Source organism: Homo sapiens, chromosome 6, assembly GCF_000001405.40.
Source record: "Homo sapiens chromosome 6, GRCh38.p14 Primary Assembly".
Taxonomy (NCBI): domain Eukaryota; kingdom Metazoa; phylum Chordata; class Mammalia; order Primates; family Hominidae; genus Homo; species Homo sapiens.
The window spans coordinates 151,088,420-151,108,469 of NC_000006.12; the positions used below are offsets into that span (position 1 = coordinate 151,088,420).

Below are 20,050 nucleotides of genomic sequence, written 5' to 3' on the forward strand. Positions count from 1 at the left end.
CACACTTTCTGGCATTTAATATTTCGGCTAGTTTTTGTTTGTTTGTTTCTTTTTTGAGACAGATTCTCTCTCTGTTGCCCAGGCTGGAGTGCATTGGTGCACTCTCGGCTCACTGCAACCTCTGCCTCCCGAGTTCAAACGATTCTCCTTCCTCGGCCTCCCAAGTAGCTAAAACGACGGGTGCTCATTACCACACCCAGCTAATTTTTTTTTTTTTTTTTTTGTATTTGTAGAAGAGACAGAGTTTCGCCATGTTGGCCAGGCTGACTTCAAGTGATCCGCCCGCCTCGGCCTCCCAAAATGCTGGGATTACAGGCATGAGCCACTGCGCCCGGCCTGGCCAGGTTTAGATCCTGGTTTTGTGAAAGAATCAGAATGACTAGAAGATTCATGTTCCGATCCACTGCAGCTAACAAATACAGCTCCAGGAACCGCACAAATCCTGCATCGCCTTTCATCAGCAGATAGTTAAAGGCGGAGAATTGGGTTTTCTTGTTTGTAAAGATAGTGCGTGTAAACAAGCATGCAGTAAATTATGTTATCTGCAGTAGAGTCTTCCATTGGTAGCTTTGGTCAGACGAGCTGAAATACACTGCCTTCAGGGTTCTTCTTGGTTTGTCACCGTGAGTAGAGATTTGAATTTACACTGCCTCATCTGTACTGAATTCTGCCCTTGCTGTGAATCATGTCACAGTCTCAGAAGCAGCAGCAGCCATAGAGTCCAGTGACATCCTTACCAGTAAGATACCTTTGACCTAGAGAGTTCATTTCAGGGGTGGGGCAGCATCAGTGTGGCTAAATGTGAATATTCATTTCTTTTTCTTAAACTATAAAATGCTTGTTCTTTTCCAAATCCATAGCTAGGCACAGATTATAGAGGCATCTTAAAAAGCCTTCTATAGCTGGGTGCAGTGGCTCACGCCTGTAATCCCAGCACTTTGGGAGGCTGAGGCGGGTGGATCACTTGAGGTCAGGAGTTTGAGACCAGCCTAGCCAACATGGTCAAACCCTGTCTCTACCAAAAATACAAAAAATTAGCCGGGCATGGTGGCAGGTGCCTATAATCCCAGCTACTCGGGAGGCCGAAGCAGGAGAATCGCTTGAACCCGGGAGGTGGAGATTGCAGTGAGCCGAGATCGTGCCACTGCACTCCAGCCTGGGTGAGAGTGAGACTCTGTCTCAAAAACAAAAACCTCCTATAAATGCCATAAGATGCCGGCAAATGCCATCTCAAAATGCAGTTAGGCAGGAAAATTACCTGGTATGAGTTGTAACCTAGGCAACTGGAAAAAAATATGTGTCCACCAGTTACCCTTGTGTTTGATGTTTCAAGTAGTAGAACAGTATAAGTGTGGTTTTCTTTCTGGGGTCTCCCCCATTGTATGCACTCACTGTAGTAACCAGAGGAAAATGTTACCTTCCTGCTGGGAACCTTAACTTCCGAGGCTGTGATACCCATCTTCATACCTAAAGTTTTAACATATAGCAAGTCCCCACCTACAAGCAGGTCTTATGTCAAAAGTGTAGTTGCAGTTTATTGCCTGGAACCCGGAATGGATTTTCCCATAGGCGTGTTATGAACGGCAGCTGTATTCCAGGCAGCTGTGGAAGCCTTTTTAGCCCATTTATATACCTGAAGTGCAGTCATGTGCAATTAGCAAGACAAGAACCAGCCATCATCCATCACAATGTTTTATGTGTTCCCCCAGCCTCCCCACTCCCACTCTCAGTTGGCCCAGCTAGGCAGGGAAGGGGGTGTTAATGAGGCCTGCAGGTGCACAGATTTACTCCCCACCTGCTGCATCTGCAGGGGTTAAACCGGCTTTTCCCTCCCCTTCGCTCTCACCATTCCTTCTCTCCCTCTCCCCACCCCCAGTCTCCCTTTCCCTGTGCTGAAGGGGCTGGGCAGTGAAGTGAGGAAGGGTGGCTGGAGCTGTTGGGGGCTGAGGCCACATTGTGCAGTTCACATCAGAACCCCCTGGGGACTTGCTCCAGTTGCAGATTCAAATGCAGCAGGTCTGGGGTGGGCTCTGAAATTCCGAATATCTAACAGGCTCCCAGGTAATGCCCATGCACAGGCCCACAGGCCCCATTTGAGTAACAGGAGTCTCTAAACACCATGCAGGGAGGAGAGGCTGGTGAAGAGGGAAACCTCGAGTCACGACTGAAAGGCAGTGGAGGGTGAGAGCTGAGTTCTATTCTCTAGGCCTTAGGGAGGTCCCTTTTACACTGAGAACTTTTTGCCACATGGGAAGAAGCAGGCAAACCCTGGATGCCATCAGGTGCTGGCACATCGCAGCCTCATCTCATGCAAGGTGTTCTTGGCCAGGGCCTGTGGAGGTTCTACATGATATGGCATTAACCCTCGGGAGAGCAGGCACAGTAGAACCTGAATGTCTCCTCCAAGCGACTGGGTGCAGCATCGCTCCATGTGACTGGGTGCAGCATCGCCCCATGCGACTGGGTGCAGCATTGCCCCATGCGACTGGGTGCAGCATCGTTCCATGCGACTGGGTGCAGCATCGTTCCATGCGACTGGGTGCAGCATCGCCCCATGCGACTGGGTGCAGCATCGTTCCATGCGACTGGGTGCAGCATCGTTCCATGCGACTGGGTGCAGCATCGCCCCATGCGACTGGGTGCAGCATCGTTCCATGCGACTGGGTGCAGCATCGTTCCATGCGACTGGGTACAGCATCGTTCTATGTGACTGGGTGCAGCATCGCCCCATGTGACTGGGTGCAGCATCGTTCCATGCGACTGGGTGCAGCATCGTTCCATGCGACTGGGTGCAGCATTGCCCCATGTGACTGGGTGCAGCATCGTTCCATGCGACTGGGTGCAGCATTGCTCCATGTGACTGGGTGCATATTGCTCCATGGGCATGGTTTGTATGAAACACTCACTATTAAAGCACAGTAGGAAATGCTGAAATGGAAAAGGAATGGGTCATCCGGGAGCCCCAGGATCTAGACCCTGGAGCAGTGTTTCAGGGCCTGAGGATCCGTCAAGGGGGCCAGCATCAGAAGCCCCAGCACACAGGGGGCTTCTGATGCAGGAGGAGAGTGTGCGGTTTGAAGATCTTTCATCCCAACACAGCAAGGCGGTGAAGAACCAGTTTTCATCCTGTCTCCACCACTAACTAGCCATGTGTCCTTGAGCTCATACCCTCATGCCTAAGTGTCCTCTGTCCTCATCCGTAAAGTAAGGCTAAAATGAGTACCTACCTCATTAGGGTGCTGGGAAGCTCAATGAGATTATTTCTGTAAAACCCTTAGACTGTCCATTAAGTGTCACAAAAGCAGTCGTAGGGGTGGCTGTGGCGGTATGGTAGTGGTGAAATGAGTAATTTGAGATTATAGGCCTAAAGTCAAATTTCTGGTTTTGCAACTTTTTACTAGTGTGACCTGGGCAAGTGACTTAGCCTCTCCAAACCTCAGTTTCTTCCCTTGTAAAATGGAAATAATAAAAGTTCCTACCTGCTATATTATTGAGAGGATAAAATGAGGAAAGCACGTAGCACAGTGCCCATCACAAAGCAAGCTCTCAGTAGATATCAGTTACTGTTATTGAGGGAGACCGGGGTGACGACTGGCATCTGAACAGGAGTTTTCCAGCTGTGCTCCAGGAGCTATAGGTTTTACAAAAATGTGTCTTGGGGGTGAGAAGGAGGCCATTATTCACCCTGCCCACACCTGCTGCCCCCTTCAACCTGATGGGCTTGTCTTTGTTGGCGTTCAGCATGAAGATTTTATTGAGAAGAAAAGGTTTGGAGTTTGGAAGATCACTGTTTTGTAGTTCGGGTGTGTTATGGGGCCACAGGGAAGGTAAATGGTCTCAATTTTCAGGAAGTTGACATTTGCCTTTTCTACTTCATTTCCTTAAACAAAAATTGAAATATCAGATGACAAATTTAAAGAGATATATCCCATATAAAACCTAAAGTTCTATGAGGCTGTATTGAACGATAGAGTTAATTTGCATCATCAGATGTTGTGGCCGCTTTGTAGCATTTGCTAATCTGTAACGCTTGGTTTTCTCCCCCAGATGAGCACCATGCCAGGACTGCCCACCCGGCCCTGCTTTTATGACATAGATCTTGATACCGAAACAGAACAAGTTAAAGGCTTGTTCTAAGTGGACAAGGCTCTCACAGGACCCGATGCAGGTAGGCTGATGTGCTTCAACTTTTTCTCTCTTTGTTTTTTTCCAGTTCATATCCTTTTTTTGTCATTTTTTTTTTCTGATACCACAGAAGTGATCTGATAAATCCTTTCCTTCCTTTGTTACTCAAATTCCTACCAAATGATTTTCCGTGACTGGAGTTCACTCCTGGGTGTGGCTGTGAGTTACATGCTCAGATGCTCAGTACACAACCCTTAGTGTCCTGCGCTCGAGTCCAGTGAAAGCCAAGTTATGTCATCCCTGAATATAGATGTGTTTAGAGCATCTCTGACCATAACAGAACTCTGTAAACTCATTGTTCTTTTCCAGGATTAAAACCAGCGTCTGTTATAATTTTAAAAGAGTAACTTCCTACCTTCCTGCCACGTATCTCTTGGTACAGAGCTAGAATCATGTGAAAGAGGAATCTTGGTGTATCCGTTTCCTGGGGCTGCCATGACAAAGTATCGCAAACTGGGTGGCTTAAAACAGTGGAAAGTTTGAAACAGTTCTGGAGGCTAGAAGTCCAAAGTCAAGGTGTCAGCCAGGCCATACGCCACCTCGAGACTCTGGGTGGAATCCTTGCTGGCCTCTTCCTAGCATCCAGTGGTGGCTGTCACTCCCTGGCGTTCCCACCTTGCAGCTGCGTCACTCCCGTCTCAGCCTCTGTGGTCCCACCACGTTCTCCCTGTGTCTGTGTCTTCACATGATGTTCACCTCTTATAAGGACCCCAGTCCTATTGGATTAGGGCCCACCCTAAGAACCTCCTTTTAACTTGATTACTCTGCAAAGACCCTCCTTCCAAATAAGATCACTCTCAGCCAAGCACTTTGGGAGGCCGAGGTGGGTGGATCACGAAGTCAGGAGTTCAAGACCAGCCTGGCCAAGATGGTGAAACCCCGTCTCTACTAAAAATACGAAAATTAGCTGGGCGTGTTGGTGGGCACCTGTAATCCCAGCTACTCGGGAGGCTGAGGCAGAGAATTGCTTGAACCCGGGAGGCGGAGGTTGCAGTGAGCTGAGATTGCGCCACTGCACTCCAGCCTGGGCGACAGAGCAAGACTCTCCTTCTAAAAAAAAAAAAATCACTCTCACAGGTGCTCAGGGTTAGGACTTAAGCATATCTTTTAGGGGACACAGTTCAACCCAGAACACTCAACTGTGTGGCACAACAGGTGTGTTCGGCTCTCTTGTCCCTGGACAGACACATAGCCATGGGACAGACCATTTAACTAGAGGGCCCCATGGGTTCCAGGAAGGGCAGGGCAGCAGAAAGTAGGCCACTTGATGACTTCGGGTTTGCACAGTCTCAGGTTGGGCTTTGACTCTGAGCTGTCTTAGGCAGCCCAGACCTGGGGACTCTCGGTCTTATTCATGTCCACGCCACAGCACTGCAGCCATACCTGCTGGCTTCTATCCTGACTCCCCATCGTGAAGAAAAATGACCACATTCCTAAACCTCTTCCCTGGGAGACAACTCCTAATCAGAAGCTTGAAAGGCTCAGGGCTGCTTCTCCTACCCCAGGGATCAAACATGTCCTCACCATATTCTAAAGACACATTCTTTCCCCGCAAGCACCCCGCCTCCTTCTCCCCACTGACTCCTGTTCCTGAGCCCAGAACCTCTCCCTCTTGCCAGCATATTCTCGGCCTTTGCAGATGAGCTTTTGTGGCCTAAAGACCTTCTTCTTCAACCATCTCTGAGTTACGGCTCCAAGCCAGGCACCCAGGATTCTCATTTCATTTGTTTCACTACCAGGAGTCCACTTGAGGACTTGTTGTTGTTGTTGTTGTTTGAGACAGAGTCTCGCGCTATCACCTAGGCTGGAGTTCAGTGGCGTGATCTCTGCTCACTGCAACCTCCGCCTCCCGGGTTCAAGCAATTCTCTTGCCTCACCCTCCCAAGTAGCTGGGATTACAGGTGTGTGCCACCACGCCCCGCTGATTTTTGTATTTTATTTATGTATTTATTTATTTGCGACAGAGTCTTACTCTGTTGCCAAGGCTGGAGTGCAGCGGCACTGTGTGGGCTCACTACAACCTCTGTCTCCTGGGTTCAAGCAATTCTCCTGCCTCAGCCTCCCAAGCAGTTGGGATTACAGGCGTCCACCACCATGCCCAGCTAGTTTTTTTATTTTTAGTAGAGACAGGGTTTCACCATGTTGGCCAGGCTGGTCTCGAACTCCTGACCTCAGGTGATCCACCCGCCTCAGCCTCCCAAAGTGCTGAGATTACAGGCGGGAGCCACCACGCCCAGCCTAATTTTTGTATTTTAATAGAGATGGGGTTTTACCGTGTTGGCCAGGCTGGTCTCAAACTCCTGACCTCAAGTGAGCCACCTCGTCTGGCCAAGTTTTTTTGTTGAGGCTTTGTTGCTAAAACACTAAAGACCTAGGCTATGGTGAGAAAGATAAGGGAACCATAAATGAAATTACATTAAAACAAAGTGTGAAATTGTTTGTTTTGAGTTGTGGATGTTGTTTGGGGGTGTTTGTATGTGTTTTTTGCTGAGGAGCGGGAGCTGTGTTAAGTTTGAGCCATAACTGCATCTTTGATCTTTGTTATTTCAGAAAAAATAAAACTCTAGAAAATGAAGTAAGGGAGACTAGTTTAACAAAGAAACCCATAAACTCAAGTGTTGATAAAATGTTGTTTCATCTTTTGGTGTGAGCTTGTGTGTTGCCAATGTCTTCCATTCCCCAGTAAGGCTGTGGGGAAATAATTGCTATTTCCCCAATTGCTAGTTGGCCTAGCAATTCTCTTTTTATGTCAGGAACCCATTATGTTACATTTCTGCCATTTGTCATTTTTCTCCAGAATAAGTGTGTTTGATTCTCCCATCTCTCTTGGACAGTATTTTTCCAGCTTTTGGTGAGTTTTCACATGCTCTCCAAGTAGGTCATATAAGTCCAATTATACCTTAATCACTGTAGTTAGGACTCAGGTCCTACTCAGGGATACATCCTTAGCATTATTAATGCATACCCTTAAATCCTTTATTACCTACTCCCTAACAAGAATTCCTCCAGATCTTATATACGGGGCCTGCAGGGCAGGACACAGGCCTATGGTAATTACTTCCAATGTATCGGGCATTGTGCTAAGCACTTTGCATGGGTGGTCACAGCACCTCTGGAGCCAAGTGTTGTCCCATAAGGGCCACAAGGCTTCAAGAGGACGGAGCCTACCCCTTGGTCACTGAGGGGTGGCCCTGGTCTGCAAGGCTACAGAACTGCCTTGCCACCCTGTGGCACTGCCTCTCATTTCATAGCTGGCACATGTCATTTTGCCACCCCCATCACATGTCATGCTGGCATCAACCCAGGGAGGTGGGTAGTATTTTTGTTGAAGAGCTGCAAGAACTCTGCCCAGAGAAGTCGACAACCTGCTCAAGTTGTGCAGCTAATAACTACAAAAGCCAAGACTCAACTCAGATCTGTTGACTCTCAGTATTACCCCAACCTTTATGCCCCAAACCAAAGGATGCCCTTTTCATTTCAGTCACGGGTAAAATGAACTTTGGCCCATTCCGAAAGATGATACCAGCTATTTGAACAGACAGGTACTTGAGGATAATGAGGTAATTTTTTCTAATAAGTAAAGATAATTGTTTGGGTATTAAAAGCTATGATTTTGTCATAATTCTTTTTAGTCCAAGTATAATAGAGCCAGCTCTTTCCTAATTCTCTAATGGAATGGCATTTCTACCCCTTACCCACCCCCCAATCCAAGGCCTCTTTCTTCTTTGTGAATTGCTAAATACAGTTCTGGGCTAGTGGGCAGTGGTTCAAAACCCATCGTTTGACCCTGCTTGAACAATCAAAAACAGATCCAGTGTCCTAAGATAAAACCACTATACAAAGCAAACATTCCCTCTCAGTGGCTCCTCGGTAATGACCCAGCAAGTATTGTCTGTTTCCCGTGCCTCTCACTATAGCCATCAGGGACCACTTCTACTAATAATCAGAGGTCTGCGGCTATTCAAAATGCATAAAATAAAAATGTTAAAGCTTAGGTGACAGCTTGGACAAACGTGGGCATCTGAAAGGAAATGTCTGGCTTGCTGACGTTGCTCCTTCAGGGATCACACCGTAGATGGTGTGCATACCCAGGTGCGGAGCAGCACACTCATTATTCCCCCAGGAAAGTGTTGAAGGCGCGTTCCACTCAGGAAGAAGATTGTGCTTGGTTGATGACAACTTTCTGTCCTTCCCTTCCTCACCTTTCTAGCCTGTCTCACCTCCTAGGAAACCGTGTGAAACCAAAGGTGAACATTATATGCCAAAAAACATCAGAATTGGAGCTCTCCTTGCTCCCTCTTCCCAAGACTTCTCTGTAGTGCCTTCACTGTGGTTAGAATAAGGGCATGACTCATTCTTTTGGATGTCACTAAATAGAACTAATTAAAATAGATTTTTTGTCCCAGTGAAATTGATCCGGCTGTTGAGTCTTTTGTTTAAAGATTATTGGAATGAAGGATTTGATACTTTTCCCCCCATTCTTTTTTCTCACTTGGAAACTTTATCATATTTCTGAGCTTTGGCAAGATTCATTCAAATGAACACACAATAAAGTCTGGCAAATTTCCTGAAGAATTCAAGGACTCCCTTACTTCTTTATTGTACTGTGCAAAGTTACGTTGAGTACGGAATCAGATTCACTCCAGTCCTGCTACAAATGTTTGTTATTTACAAAAGAATTGCTTTTTCTTGAATTACATACACAGAAATAAGTTCAGGAAAGAAATTAGTTTCTTTCCTAAACTGGCTTTAGGGCATCTACAGACAAATGGTTAAAGAAAATGTGGTATGTATAGAGAGTGGAATACTACTTAGCCATTAAAAAAGAATGAAATAATGTCATTTACAGCAGCATGGATGGAAGTGGAAGTTATTATGTGAAATAAGCTGGGCACGGAAAGACTAATGCTGCATGTTCTCACTCTCATGTGGAAGCTAAAAAGCTTACCCTCATAGACAGAATAAATGGTAGATACCAGAGGCTGGGAAGGATGGGTGGCTGGGAGGAGGTTATGAAGAAAGGTTGGTTATGGGTACAAACATACAGTTAGACGAAGAAATAAGCTCTAATGTTTGATAGCAAACTAGGATGACTATACTCAGCAACAATATTTTGTATACTTCAAAGTAACAGGAAGAGAGTGGGGTGTACTTGAAATGATACCAACATACAGTAGTAATGATAAATACTCAAGATAATGGACACCCCAGGTACCCTGACTTGATCACTACACATTCCAGGCACATAATAAACACTCATATATACCCCATAAGAATATAAAATATTAGGCCAGGTGTGGTGGCTCATGCTTCTAATCTCAGCAGTTTGGGAGTCCGAGTGGGTGGATCACTTGAGCCCAGGAATTCGAGACCAGCCTGGGAAACATGGCAAAACCCTGTCCCTACTAAAAATAGAAAAATTAGCCAGGCGTCATGGCACGCACCTGTAATCTCAGCTACTCAGGAGGCTGAGGCAGGCAAATCTCTTGAACCCAGGAGGTGGAGGCTGCAGTGAGCTGAGATCATGCCACTGCACTCTAGCCTGGGTGACAGAGCAAGACTCGGTCTCAAAAATATATATAATGTATCAATACAAGGGAAAAATGGGCAGAAATTTTCAATGATATTTAATAACCATAAATTAATCTTGAGTTGGGTTGCTGCCTGCCAGCCCTTCTGTGAACATGATTTGTTCAGTCCCAAGTCACAAACCACAGGGTTACAAAGTACCCTGGGAGGGTGCCTGAGCTCTGTGGTTTTAGTCTTGAAACTTTATCTTTTCACAAAGCAATTCAAAAATTGCTCATCACCATTGTGTTCCGAGAAAAGGGGCGCCAAGGCATCACCCTGAGCCATCCGAGGAGTGCTGTGTGCCTTCTTCCTTTCTGCTTCCAAGTAGGATGGAAGCTCCAGCTTTATACTTAAATAATCCTCATCAACATCTAAAAGATAGTGATAATTAAATCTCTCCTATCTAACTAAAATGGAATGTTTTAAAGCTTAGGTAACAATTCTGAAATTCTTAATTCCCCCCAAAACAAACTTTTTCTGAGCACATTTTGATTTCTTATTCCCATGCCAGAATAGACTGTTTTGTATATGGTATCTTCCAAGATATTTTCCCACTGAGTTAACTTCTGAAATTGCTTCTTCCAACGCATAAGCAATAAACAACAGATTCGTTTTTACATTCTCACCTTAGCTATTGCATCTCTGATTGTTTTCATCTATAATGAGACTTTCTATACTTTGGCCAGTCCTTCTGTTTTTCTTAAAATGTGGGACCACAGGCCAGGCACGGTAGCTCGCATCTGTAATCCCAGCAATTTGGGAGGCCGAGGCAGGCGGATCACCTGAGGTCAGGAGTTCAAGACCAGCCTGGCCAACATGGTGAAACCCCATCTCTACTAAAAATACAAAAATTAGTCGGGCATGGTGGCGGGTACCTGTAATCCCAGCTACTTGGGAAGCTGAACCCTGAGAATTGCTTGGACCCAGGAGGCGAAGGTTGCAGTGAGCTGATATCGCATCGCTGCACTCCAGTGTGGGCAACAGAGCAAGACTCCATCTCAAAAAAAAAAAAAAAAAGTGGGACCACATACTCTAAGCACCTTTAGACAAAACCACAGGATACAAATGTAATGTGGCTAATCAGCTGGTCTTCCACCACCCACCTCTGGAGCATGGAAGGCCTTGTCCAGCCTTGCCTTGCCAAGCCAAGGGTCATCTCTAGTCCACTGAGCCCACCCTCTACCCTAGCACCCCTCCTGTCCCAAGAGTCATTGACCCTCAGGTCAAGGGATACCAGAGCCACTACAGTGAGGCTGGCCGTGTCTCTGAAATATTTTCTTTTTTTTTTTTTGCCCTTCTCTCTTCCTCGGCGCTGCCTATGGAGGTGGCAGCCATCTCCTCCTCGGCATCTTGGCCGCCCTCAGACCCCTTGTGAAGCCCAAGATCGTCAAAAAGAGAACCAAGAAGTTCATCCGGCACCAGTCAGACCATTATGTCAAAATTAAGCGTAACTGGTGGAAACCCAGAGGCATTGACAACAGGGTTCGTAGAAGATTCAGGGTCCAGATCTTGATGCCCAACACTGGTTATGGGAGCAACAAAAAAACAAAGCACATGCTGCCCAGTGGCTTCCGGAAGTTCCTGGTCCACAACGTCAAGGAGCTGGAAGTGCTGCTGATGTGCAACAATCGTACTTGTGCCGAGATCGCTCACAATGTTTCCTCCAAGAACCGCAAAGCCATCGTGGAAAGAGCTGCCCAACTGGCCATCACAGTCACCAACCCCAGTGCCAGGCTGTGCAGCGAAGAAAATGAGTAGACAGCTCGTGTGCACATTTTCTGTTTAAATAAATGTAAAAACAGCCATCTGGCATCTTCCTTTAAAAAAAAAGAAAAGAAAGAAATATTTTCTTTCTTTTCTTTTTTTTTTTTTTTTTGAGACGCAGTCTCGCTCTGTCACCCAGGCTGAAGTGCAGTGGCACGATCTCGGCTCACTGCAAGCTCCGCCTCCCGGGTTCACGCCATTCTCCTGCCTCAACCTCCAGAGTAGCTGGGACTACAGGCACCTGCCACCACGCCCAGCTAATTTTTTTGTATTTTTTTAATAGACACGGGGTTTCACCGTGTTAGACAGGATGGTCTTGATCTCCTGACCTCGTGATCCACCCGTGAGCCACCGCGCCTGGCCTGAAATATTTTATTTTTGTTCATCTTTGTTGTGCTTATAATACTCCTGTTTTCTGTTTATTCCCCTGACTTGAACCAGATGTTAGGGGAGTATTTGAAGCTCCTCGTTCCCTCTCTTCATCAATATCTTCTGTCTAGAAACTAACCAAGCACCTTATCTGGCTCCAGACCTCTCAGTGATCTGTGGGAGGCCAACTCGCAGGATTTCAGCAGAGTTTGCACTTTCTAGGCCTAAAAGATAAGTCCTTCCATGTGTAAGTTCAGATTAAAGGCAACATATTGCATTTACATTTTAGAGAGGTGAACACATTATTTTCTGGGACTTAAGTGTTGTTTTGTTTCTTTTTTTTTTTTTTAATGTAGTTTATTTCTCTTTCTAAGAGATTACAGGATTCAAGAATGGCAATGAATCTTAATAGCCTTTGGGAGAAAGCAGCAAAGCTTTAATACTAAGTTCCAGGACCATGAACTTCCATGTTGTCCTAAATGCATTTTTCAAACATTGCTTTCTGTGCCTACTCTATAAAACCTAAAAATCCAAGGTGACAGTATTCCTTATCTAAAATCCTAAACAAGGCTGGGCGTGGTGGTTCATACCTGTAATCCCAGCACTTTGGGAGGACAAGGCAGGCGGATCACTTGAGCCCAGGAGTTCAAGACCAGCCTGGCCAACGTGGTGAAACCTCGTCTTTACTAAAAATACAAAAATTAGCCGGGCATGGTGGTGCACACTTGTAATCCCAGCTACTCCGGAGGCTGTGGCGGGAGGATTGCTTGAACCCGGGAGACGGAGGTTGCAGTGAGCCGAGATCTCGCCACTACACTCCAGCCTGGGCGACAAAGTGAGACTCTGTCTCAAAAAATTAAAAAAAAATTTTTTTAAATCCTAAATATTCTCATTCCACAGGATCCTGCAAACTGTAGATCCCAAACTTGGAAGTTCTGGGAATTCTGCCAGTATCCCCAAGTAAATCTCTTGGGAAGTTTAGAATGCTGCATGGCGTAGCTGTGCCTGCTCTTATAGAGTGGTGCAGACTCTGCTTCTCCACGTCTGCTAAGTAAAATATTCCAAACACAGATCAGCCTTATCTAGCGAACCATCACTCTGCTCTTGAATTTTCTTTTGGCCTCAAACTCTAGAGCTATAACATGTTAACGGTTTAACACCAGAGGAGAAAGCTATTCTTAAACTACTCAAACATGGTTTTTTTTTCTATTTTTCAGACTCCTGAAACAGACTACTCTTTGCCTTTTTGCTGCAGTTGGAGAAGAAACTGAATTTGAAAAATGTCTGTTATGCAATGCTGGAGACATGGTGAAATAGGCCAAAGATTTCTTCTTCGTTCAAGATGAATTCTGTTCACAGTGGAGTATGGTGTTCGGCAAAAGGACCTCCACCAAGACTGAAAGAAACTAATTTATTTCTGTTTCTGTGGAGTTTCCATTATTTCTACTGCTTACACTTTAGAATGTTTATTTTATGGGGACTAAGGGATTAGGAGTGTGAACTAAAAGGTAACATTTTCCACTCTCAAGTTTTCTACTTTGTCTTTGAACTGAAAATAAACATGGATCTAGAAAACCAACCAGCAAGTTTTCAGTGCCAGATAAAACTCTGCGCTCTAGAGGTAACTCCTCATGGGAGGCAGCTAGGAGTGTTACCTGACACCAGTTTCCTAGAAAACTGTGACAAGCAAAGCAATAACACACGTCGAGAAATATCTGATCAAGCGGGAAATCTTCTGACTGTCGGGGATCTCTAGTAAGATCTCTTGGAATGAAGTGCACTGTGTATCCAAAACTATTTTCCAGCGCCAGTGAAGTTGCTCTTACCTAAAACAAATGGGTTTATGCTAGTTTCCACCAAGGAATGAGTCTCGATGGCCATTAAACTTTCTAAGGCCCACAGGGCTAGGAAAAGTCGCTCTTAAAGGTCAGGTGTTTGGAAAATGTTTTTCCTTTTGCCCAACCCTTAATTAGTAGTAGAGAATGTTCTGTGGCCTATTCCCCTCTCTGGGAGTTCCTGACCCTTCTTTGTTTTCCAGTTTTTCCTACAATAATATAAAATTACGTAAAAGTTAAAACAAAACCAAGGATTCAGGAAGAAACAAGCAGTGATTGTCCTCTAGGCAGCGTAAGGAAAATAGTCACCATAAATATCTTAGATGCCCCCCAGGCACATCCTGCAGGATCTTTTCTGCATCCTCTTGTCCTACACCCTCCAGTGACCCTGCTCAGCCATTGCTCAGCCCATAATGCACCTTTATGCACAATTTGTCCCAAAACACTGTTTAGTAACTCAAAAGCCTCCCACTCAAAAGCTGTCTGTCCCAAGAATAATTTCACTTGGCAATTCTGAAGTGTCCTTCCCCATCCCTGCCCTTTATTTGGGAGTACACCTCTCCAAATATACAGTTAACTGATGTTTTACTGTTTATTTGGAGAGGTGTACTCCCAAATAAAGGGCATACCCTCTCCCTTTACAGTAAATTTGTAAACCCTTATAATCTTCCAATAGATTTATACATTGAAAACCCTATATATTCCACTCAGAAAGCTGTCTTTTTTTTTTTTTTTTTTTTTTTTTTTTTAAGATAGGGGCTCACTCTGTTGCCTAGGTGGAGTGCAGTGGTACAATCATGGCCCACTACAGCCTTGACCTCCCAGGCTCAGGTGAAGCCCCCACCTCAGCCTCCTGAGAAGCTGGGACTATAGGCACGCACCACCCCACCCAGCTAATTTTTGTATTTTGGTAGGGACAGGGTTTCACCATGTTACCCAGGCTGGTCTCAAAGTCCGGGACTCAAGCGATCCGCCCGCCTCAGCCTCCCATAGTGCTGCGATTAGAGGCGTGAGCCACCGTGCCTGGCCGTGAATTGATTTTTAAGCAGTTGTCTTCTGCTACTCATGTTTTTATTCTTTTCCTCTGCATTGAAAGGTTAAGTTTCTATTTTTGAAAACATTTTTTAAATAAATATTTTAGGAGTCTCCATTCAAAAAGCTTTAGCCTAGGGACTCCTTTCCTTACCTACTTTTACCAGACAACTCCTCAACTCAAAATGTAAGTAAACATCCTGCACACCAGTGTGGGAGAGTTTTCCACTGCTCACTTTGGAAGGACTATCATCCAGGTGCTGCTGGAAACCGCAAACTGTTTCCCATCATGTAGGCTCATTCGAAGTCCTCTGGGTGTCATAACTCGGGCTCTGATGGAGTTGTTTTTGCTCATTCACTACCCTACTGATGGTAGAGTGTATTTGACTCCAGCTGAGTGATATGCAGTCTCCACTAAGAAGAAACGTTAATTAATGGGCTCATCAACTCCTGATGACTTGAGGCATTCATAGAGAAAAAGAAGTATTATTATGGGGAGTACTGGGAGGAGCCAGTTATCAACCATCTTTTCTGAGGCCACAGCATGAGAAAAGAAAAATCACATAACCTTTGGCATGGTGGGTTTCAGTTAGAAATCTTCCCAAGAAGAGTGGATATTGATTTCTTTCTGCCTTTAATTGAAATGTAAAAAACGAATAGGCCAGAGATGGTGAGTGGCTCCAATTACCCACTGTGGCACAGAAATGTGTGATCATGCCCCCTCTCTGCTTGAGGACTGGCAGTAGTGACACCTGCCAAGGTGAAGTCCCAGACCAGAAGAATCCTCTGTGAAAGCTGCCTGAAGAACACACTATAGGAATTAACTGGAGAAGAGATGCATAGGAACTTCGGAAAACATCAGCAAGGCAATGAGCCAACCCATTCATTCGTATTTTTTTTTTTTGTCTTTTTTTTTTTTTTTTTCCGAGACCGAGTCTTGCTCTGTCGCCCAGGCTGGAATGCAGTGGTATGATCTCGGCTCACTGCAACCTCCACCTCCCAGGTTCAAATGATTCTCCTGCCTCAGCCTCCGAAGTAGCTGGGATTATAGGCATGCACCACCACACCCAGCTAATGTTTGCATTTTTAGTAGAGACTAGGTTTCGCCATGTTGGCCAGGCTGGTCTCAAACTCCTGGCCTCAAGCCATCCACCTGCCTTGGCCTCCCAAAGTGCTGGGATTACAGGCGTGAGCCACCACTCCCAGCCTCATTAATATTCTTTTTATTCCTCTATTGTCAAGGTTATTTTGTTTAACTAGAGTGTGTATGTTTAATACACTTAAAGCTATAAGGAGTATTTTTCACAATAGATATTTAAAGAGAATCCTAGTTCCCTCCCATCTGAGAGTAGCCACGGTTTCGTTTGTTTAACTACAATGTGCCCAGCCTGTTTTTAATCATAATTTACACATGCCCACAAATAAGATTGTGGCATGTGTAAATTATGATAATTTACCGTATATATTCCCAGAAAATCCACATACTACATATTTGTAGATTGCTTTTTCATAAATGTGTTCGCACAAGGGAATAAAAATTCAGTAACAAGTGCATTCTTTTTTTTTTTTTTTTTTTTTGAGGAGTCTCGCTCTGTCGCCAGGCTGGAGTGCAATGGTGGGATCTCGGCTCACTGTAACCTCCACCTCCCGAGTTCAAGCAATTCTCTGCCTCAGCCTCCTGAGTAGCTGGGATTACAGGTGCCTGCCACCATGCCCGGCTAATTTTTATATTTTTAGTAGAGACGGGTTTTCACCATCTTGGCCAGGCTGGTCTTGAACTCCTGATCTCGTGATCCACCCACCTCAGCCTCCCAAAGTGCTGGGATTACAGGCATGAGCCACCACACCTGGCCAACAAGTGCATTCTTACAGCATTTGTTACAAACCTATAATCCATATCCTCTGAAAAAGTCAAGCATTATGACAAAACCACTGGTCAATCAACAGATCTTCATGTAGCACCGTAAACTCTAATGCAGCCAGAGACAGACCCAAAACTCTAACAGCGACTTCAGAACAGCAGAATGGACTAGAATTCAGGGGTCTGAATTTGAGGGAAAAAATGTAACATCTTTATGGCTATAATGTAGCATTTCCTTCCCTATGAGTGTCAGCAACAAAACACAGCACTATCGACAGTGCTGTGTCTTTTTTGTTTGTTTTGAGATAGGGGTCTCATTCTGTTGCCCAGACTGGAGCGCAGTGGCACAATCACAGCTCACTGCAGCCTCCACCTCCCAGGCTCAAGCAATCCTCCCACCTCAGCTTCCCCAGTAGCTGGGACCACAGGCACACCACCACACACAGCTAATTTTTTATTTTTTGTAGATACAAAGTCTTGCCACGTTGTCCAGGCTGGTTTCGAACTCCTGGGCTCAAGTGATCATCCCACTTCAGCCTCCCAAAGTGTTGGGATTACAAGCATGAGCCACCGTGTGTGGCTTTTTTTTCTTCCCTAGCCACTAGACCTCCAGGGAAACAGTAGCTATGTCTTTGTCGTAGATATTTTAATATTACATGACAGTTTCTACAAATACAGTAGCATTTATGCTTCTCACTGCATCAAAATTATAGTAGTTATTAGATCTCCCACTGTCTTTGTATCCATGTAAATAAAGAGGCACCTACATTGCTATAACCAAATGTGGTACCTTTTCTATACTTTAATAATTGCATTTCAGGCTGGGCACGGTGGCTCATGCCTGTAATCAAGGCGGGTGGATCACTTGAGGTTAGGGGTTCGAGACCAGCCTGGCCAACATGGTGAAATCCAATCTTTACTAAAAATACAAAAATTAGCCGGGCGTGGTGGCACACACCTGTAGTTCCAACTACTCGGGAGGTTGAGGCAGGAGAATCGCTTGAGCCAGGGAGGCGGAGGTGGCAGTGAGCCAAGATCATGCCATTGCACTCCAGCTGTGCAACAAGAGCAAAACTCCATCTCAAAGAAAAAAACAAGCATTTTACTATCATTGGTTTGTTTTATAATCATAAGTGTTTTCATTTAAGCATTTAAAAAATATTATTCTAAGAAGGGGGTCCATGGGCTTCACCACTTTGTCCATGGGCATCCAAGGCACATAAAAGGTTAGAATCCCCTGGACTAGATGAGATGCTAACAGCCTAGGTCCTGGTTCTGTGGCAGCATTACCTGGTCTCCGATGTTGCTACCTCTACATCTGCGCCTCAGTCTATCCCTACAGGTCCCCTGATCCAGGGTGCCTAGTGTGCCTATAATAGAGTCTTGGTATGTATGTAATGGTAACACAGGCAGCGGCTGTCACCAAAGTTTCTCCAGCCTGATTCAGAGGATACACAAGAAGCTCTGGACGCTGGAGTGCCTAAGCCTTGGTTAGCAACTCCACCCCCGAGCCAGCCCCTGAGCTCCCACCCCACCCTGATCTAAGGCCAGGCTTCTGCACATGGTTTTAGATGCTGCCCAGCAATGGAGTTCTCACCTGACCTGGTTCCTCCCCGTAGCTCACACAGGGCCACAGCTTGCATATTGGTGGTCAGATGCCATTGCTCACGGTAGATGGGACAGAGCTGAATAGCCAGTGTCCATTCCTGAAAGGCTAGAGTCCAACTACTTGGCAACTGTGGGTGGAATGCTGCCTACGAGAGCACCATGTCCTAAACATGCATGTACATAACCATGGAGTCAGTGGATTGTCCAGGGAACTGCAATTGATAAGTGCTGGGCCTTCCTAAAGGTCTTGGTAAAACAGTTGGTTTCTAGGACAAAAGGCATATCATGAACCACAAAGGATGGGGAAAATACTTCACGAATTGGAGTAGGACCATATAGTTAAGCCTTCAATATGAGTAAGAAAGAATGAATTTCTTTTATTATTATTATCTTTTTTTTTTTGAGATGGAGTCTCTGTCACCCAGGCTGGAGTGCAGTGGCGCGATCTTGGGTCACTGCAACCTCTGCCTCCCAGGTTCAAGTGATTCTCCTGCCTCAGCCTCCCGAGTAGCTGGGATTACAGGCATGTGCCACCACACCCGGCTAATTTTCATATTTTTAGTAGAGACGGGGTTTTACCATGTTGGTCAGGCTGGTCTCGAACTCCTGACTTCCGGTGATCTGCCTTCCTCGGCCTCCCAGAGTGCTGGGATTACAGGCATGAGCCACTGCACCTGGCCAAAGAATGAAATTCTTAACTGCACCACCCTCCTGTGATCTCAGCCTTGTCAATGTAGGTCATCACCTTAGGTATTTTTTATTGTTCTTTTTTGGGGGGTGTTGGGGGACCAGGTCTCACTTTGTCACTCAGGCTGGAGTGCAGTGGCATAATCTTGACTCACTGCAACCTCCGCCATCCAGACTCAAGTGATCCTCCCACTTCAGCCCCCTGAGTAGCTGGGACTACAGGCAGGCACCATCACACCTGGCTAGTTTTTTATATTTTTTGTAGAGACAGGGTTTTGCCATGCTGCCGAGGCTGGTCTCGAAATCCTCAGCCCAAGCAATCCTCCACCTCTGCCTCCCAAAGTGCTGGGATTACAGGCATGAGCCACCACACCCAGCCACCCTAGGTATTTTAATCCTTATTCTTTTGTGCTACTTAAGCTCTGGGATAGCAACCTCCCCAGGTCCAAAGTGTGGCCACCTAACTTAGGTGCTTTCCTGTGTCCGAGGCTGTAGGTGCCCTGTTTCAACTACAATGGACAGTTTTCATGAGGCAGCACCCGTAACTGGCCACATCCAGCGTATTCAAGTTAAGCAAAACCACAGGAGGCAGGTGCCCATAGAAATCCTCTCTGGGCAATTAATAGCAGGTCCCCAGGCATTTAGGGTAGCTTTTACTCATAGGTTTTAGAATTGCAACTTTAAAAAAAAAAAAAAAGTCCCAGGAGCTGGACATGGTGGCACGTGCCTGTAGTCCCAGCTACTCTGGAGCTGAAGCAGGAGGATCGCTTGTGGCCAGGAGTTCAAGGCTGCAGTGAACTGTGATTGTGCCATTGCACTCCAGCCTGGGTAACAGAGCAAGACCCTGTGTCTTAAAACAAATCAAAAACAAACAAACCAACAAAAAACTGGCCCTGGGATCATCTTCATTAGAATCACCCGAGAGAGTTGTTTACAAAATGCAGCTTCCTGTCTCCATTTAGATCTAATCAATTGGACTCTCTGGCGATAATCCTGGGAATCTGTGTTTTAACAAATTCACAAGGTCATTCTGCATACTGAAGTTTAGGAGTTAACCTAAACTCCACTTTTGTATCACCATTTGCCTAGCACAATGCTAAACACATGGGAGGTGCTAGAGAAATCCTCCTGGAAAGGA

The 20,050-nt window shown here is 45.7% G+C and overlaps 1 protein-coding gene, 1 long non-coding RNA gene, 1 other non-coding gene and 1 pseudogene across 18 annotated transcripts in view, besides 2 other annotated features; 3 read left to right on the forward strand and 1 right to left on the reverse strand.

The window, feature by feature from the left end:
* MTHFD1L (methylenetetrahydrofolate dehydrogenase (NADP+ dependent) 1 like) overlaps positions 1-13,468 on the forward strand; it is a 236,186-nt gene extending 222,718 nt beyond the window's left edge. For 14 of the 16 annotated variants that reach the window (NR_146719.2, NR_146720.2, NM_001242767.2 and 11 more), the window contains 2 exons: positions 4,048-4,168; positions 13,107-13,468. Coding sequence is in view for 14 of the 16 variants with exons in the window: in NM_001242767.2 (NP_001229696.1) it covers positions 4,048-4,137 (90 nt within the window). In the remaining 2 variants the exon portion in view is untranslated. Of the gene's footprint in view, positions 1-4,047; positions 4,169-7,666; positions 8,597-11,080; positions 11,562-13,106 lie in introns of those variants that run through there. The other 2 variants (XM_017010702.3, XM_017010703.3) reach the window with 2 other exon arrangements.
* Positions 1-20,050, reverse strand: part of LOC124901432 (uncharacterized) — a 62,877-nt gene that overhangs the window by 326 nt on the left and 42,501 nt on the right. The gene's annotated exons all lie outside the window — the stretch shown is intronic.
* Positions 1,420-2,253: an enhancer, noted in NCBI's record as "OCT4-NANOG-H3K27ac-H3K4me1 hESC enhancer chr6:151410975-151411808 (GRCh37/hg19 assembly coordinates)". NCBI's record gives its function as "activates a minimal SCP1, AML or CMV promoter by ChIP-STARR-seq in primed H9 embryonic stem cells {active_cell/tissue: H9 hESC(primed)}" and the evidence as "EXISTENCE:reporter gene assay evidence [ECO:0000049][PMID:30033119]".
* Positions 3,469-4,668: an enhancer, noted in NCBI's record as "MED14-independent group 3 enhancer chr6:151413024-151414223 (GRCh37/hg19 assembly coordinates)". NCBI's record gives its function as "activates an origin of replication core promoter dependent on BRD2, BRD4, P300/CBP and CDK7 cofactors, and independent of MED14, by STARR-seq in HCT116 cells {active_cell/tissue: HCT116}" and the evidence as "EXISTENCE:reporter gene assay evidence [ECO:0000049][PMID:35650434]".
* On the forward strand, positions 11,049-11,576 carry RPL32P16 (ribosomal protein L32 pseudogene 16; annotated as a pseudogene).
* MIR12131 (microRNA 12131) lies at positions 14,256-14,357 on the forward strand. Its single transcript, NR_162145.1, has one exon. It is a non-coding gene; the product is annotated as a microRNA 12131 (primary transcript).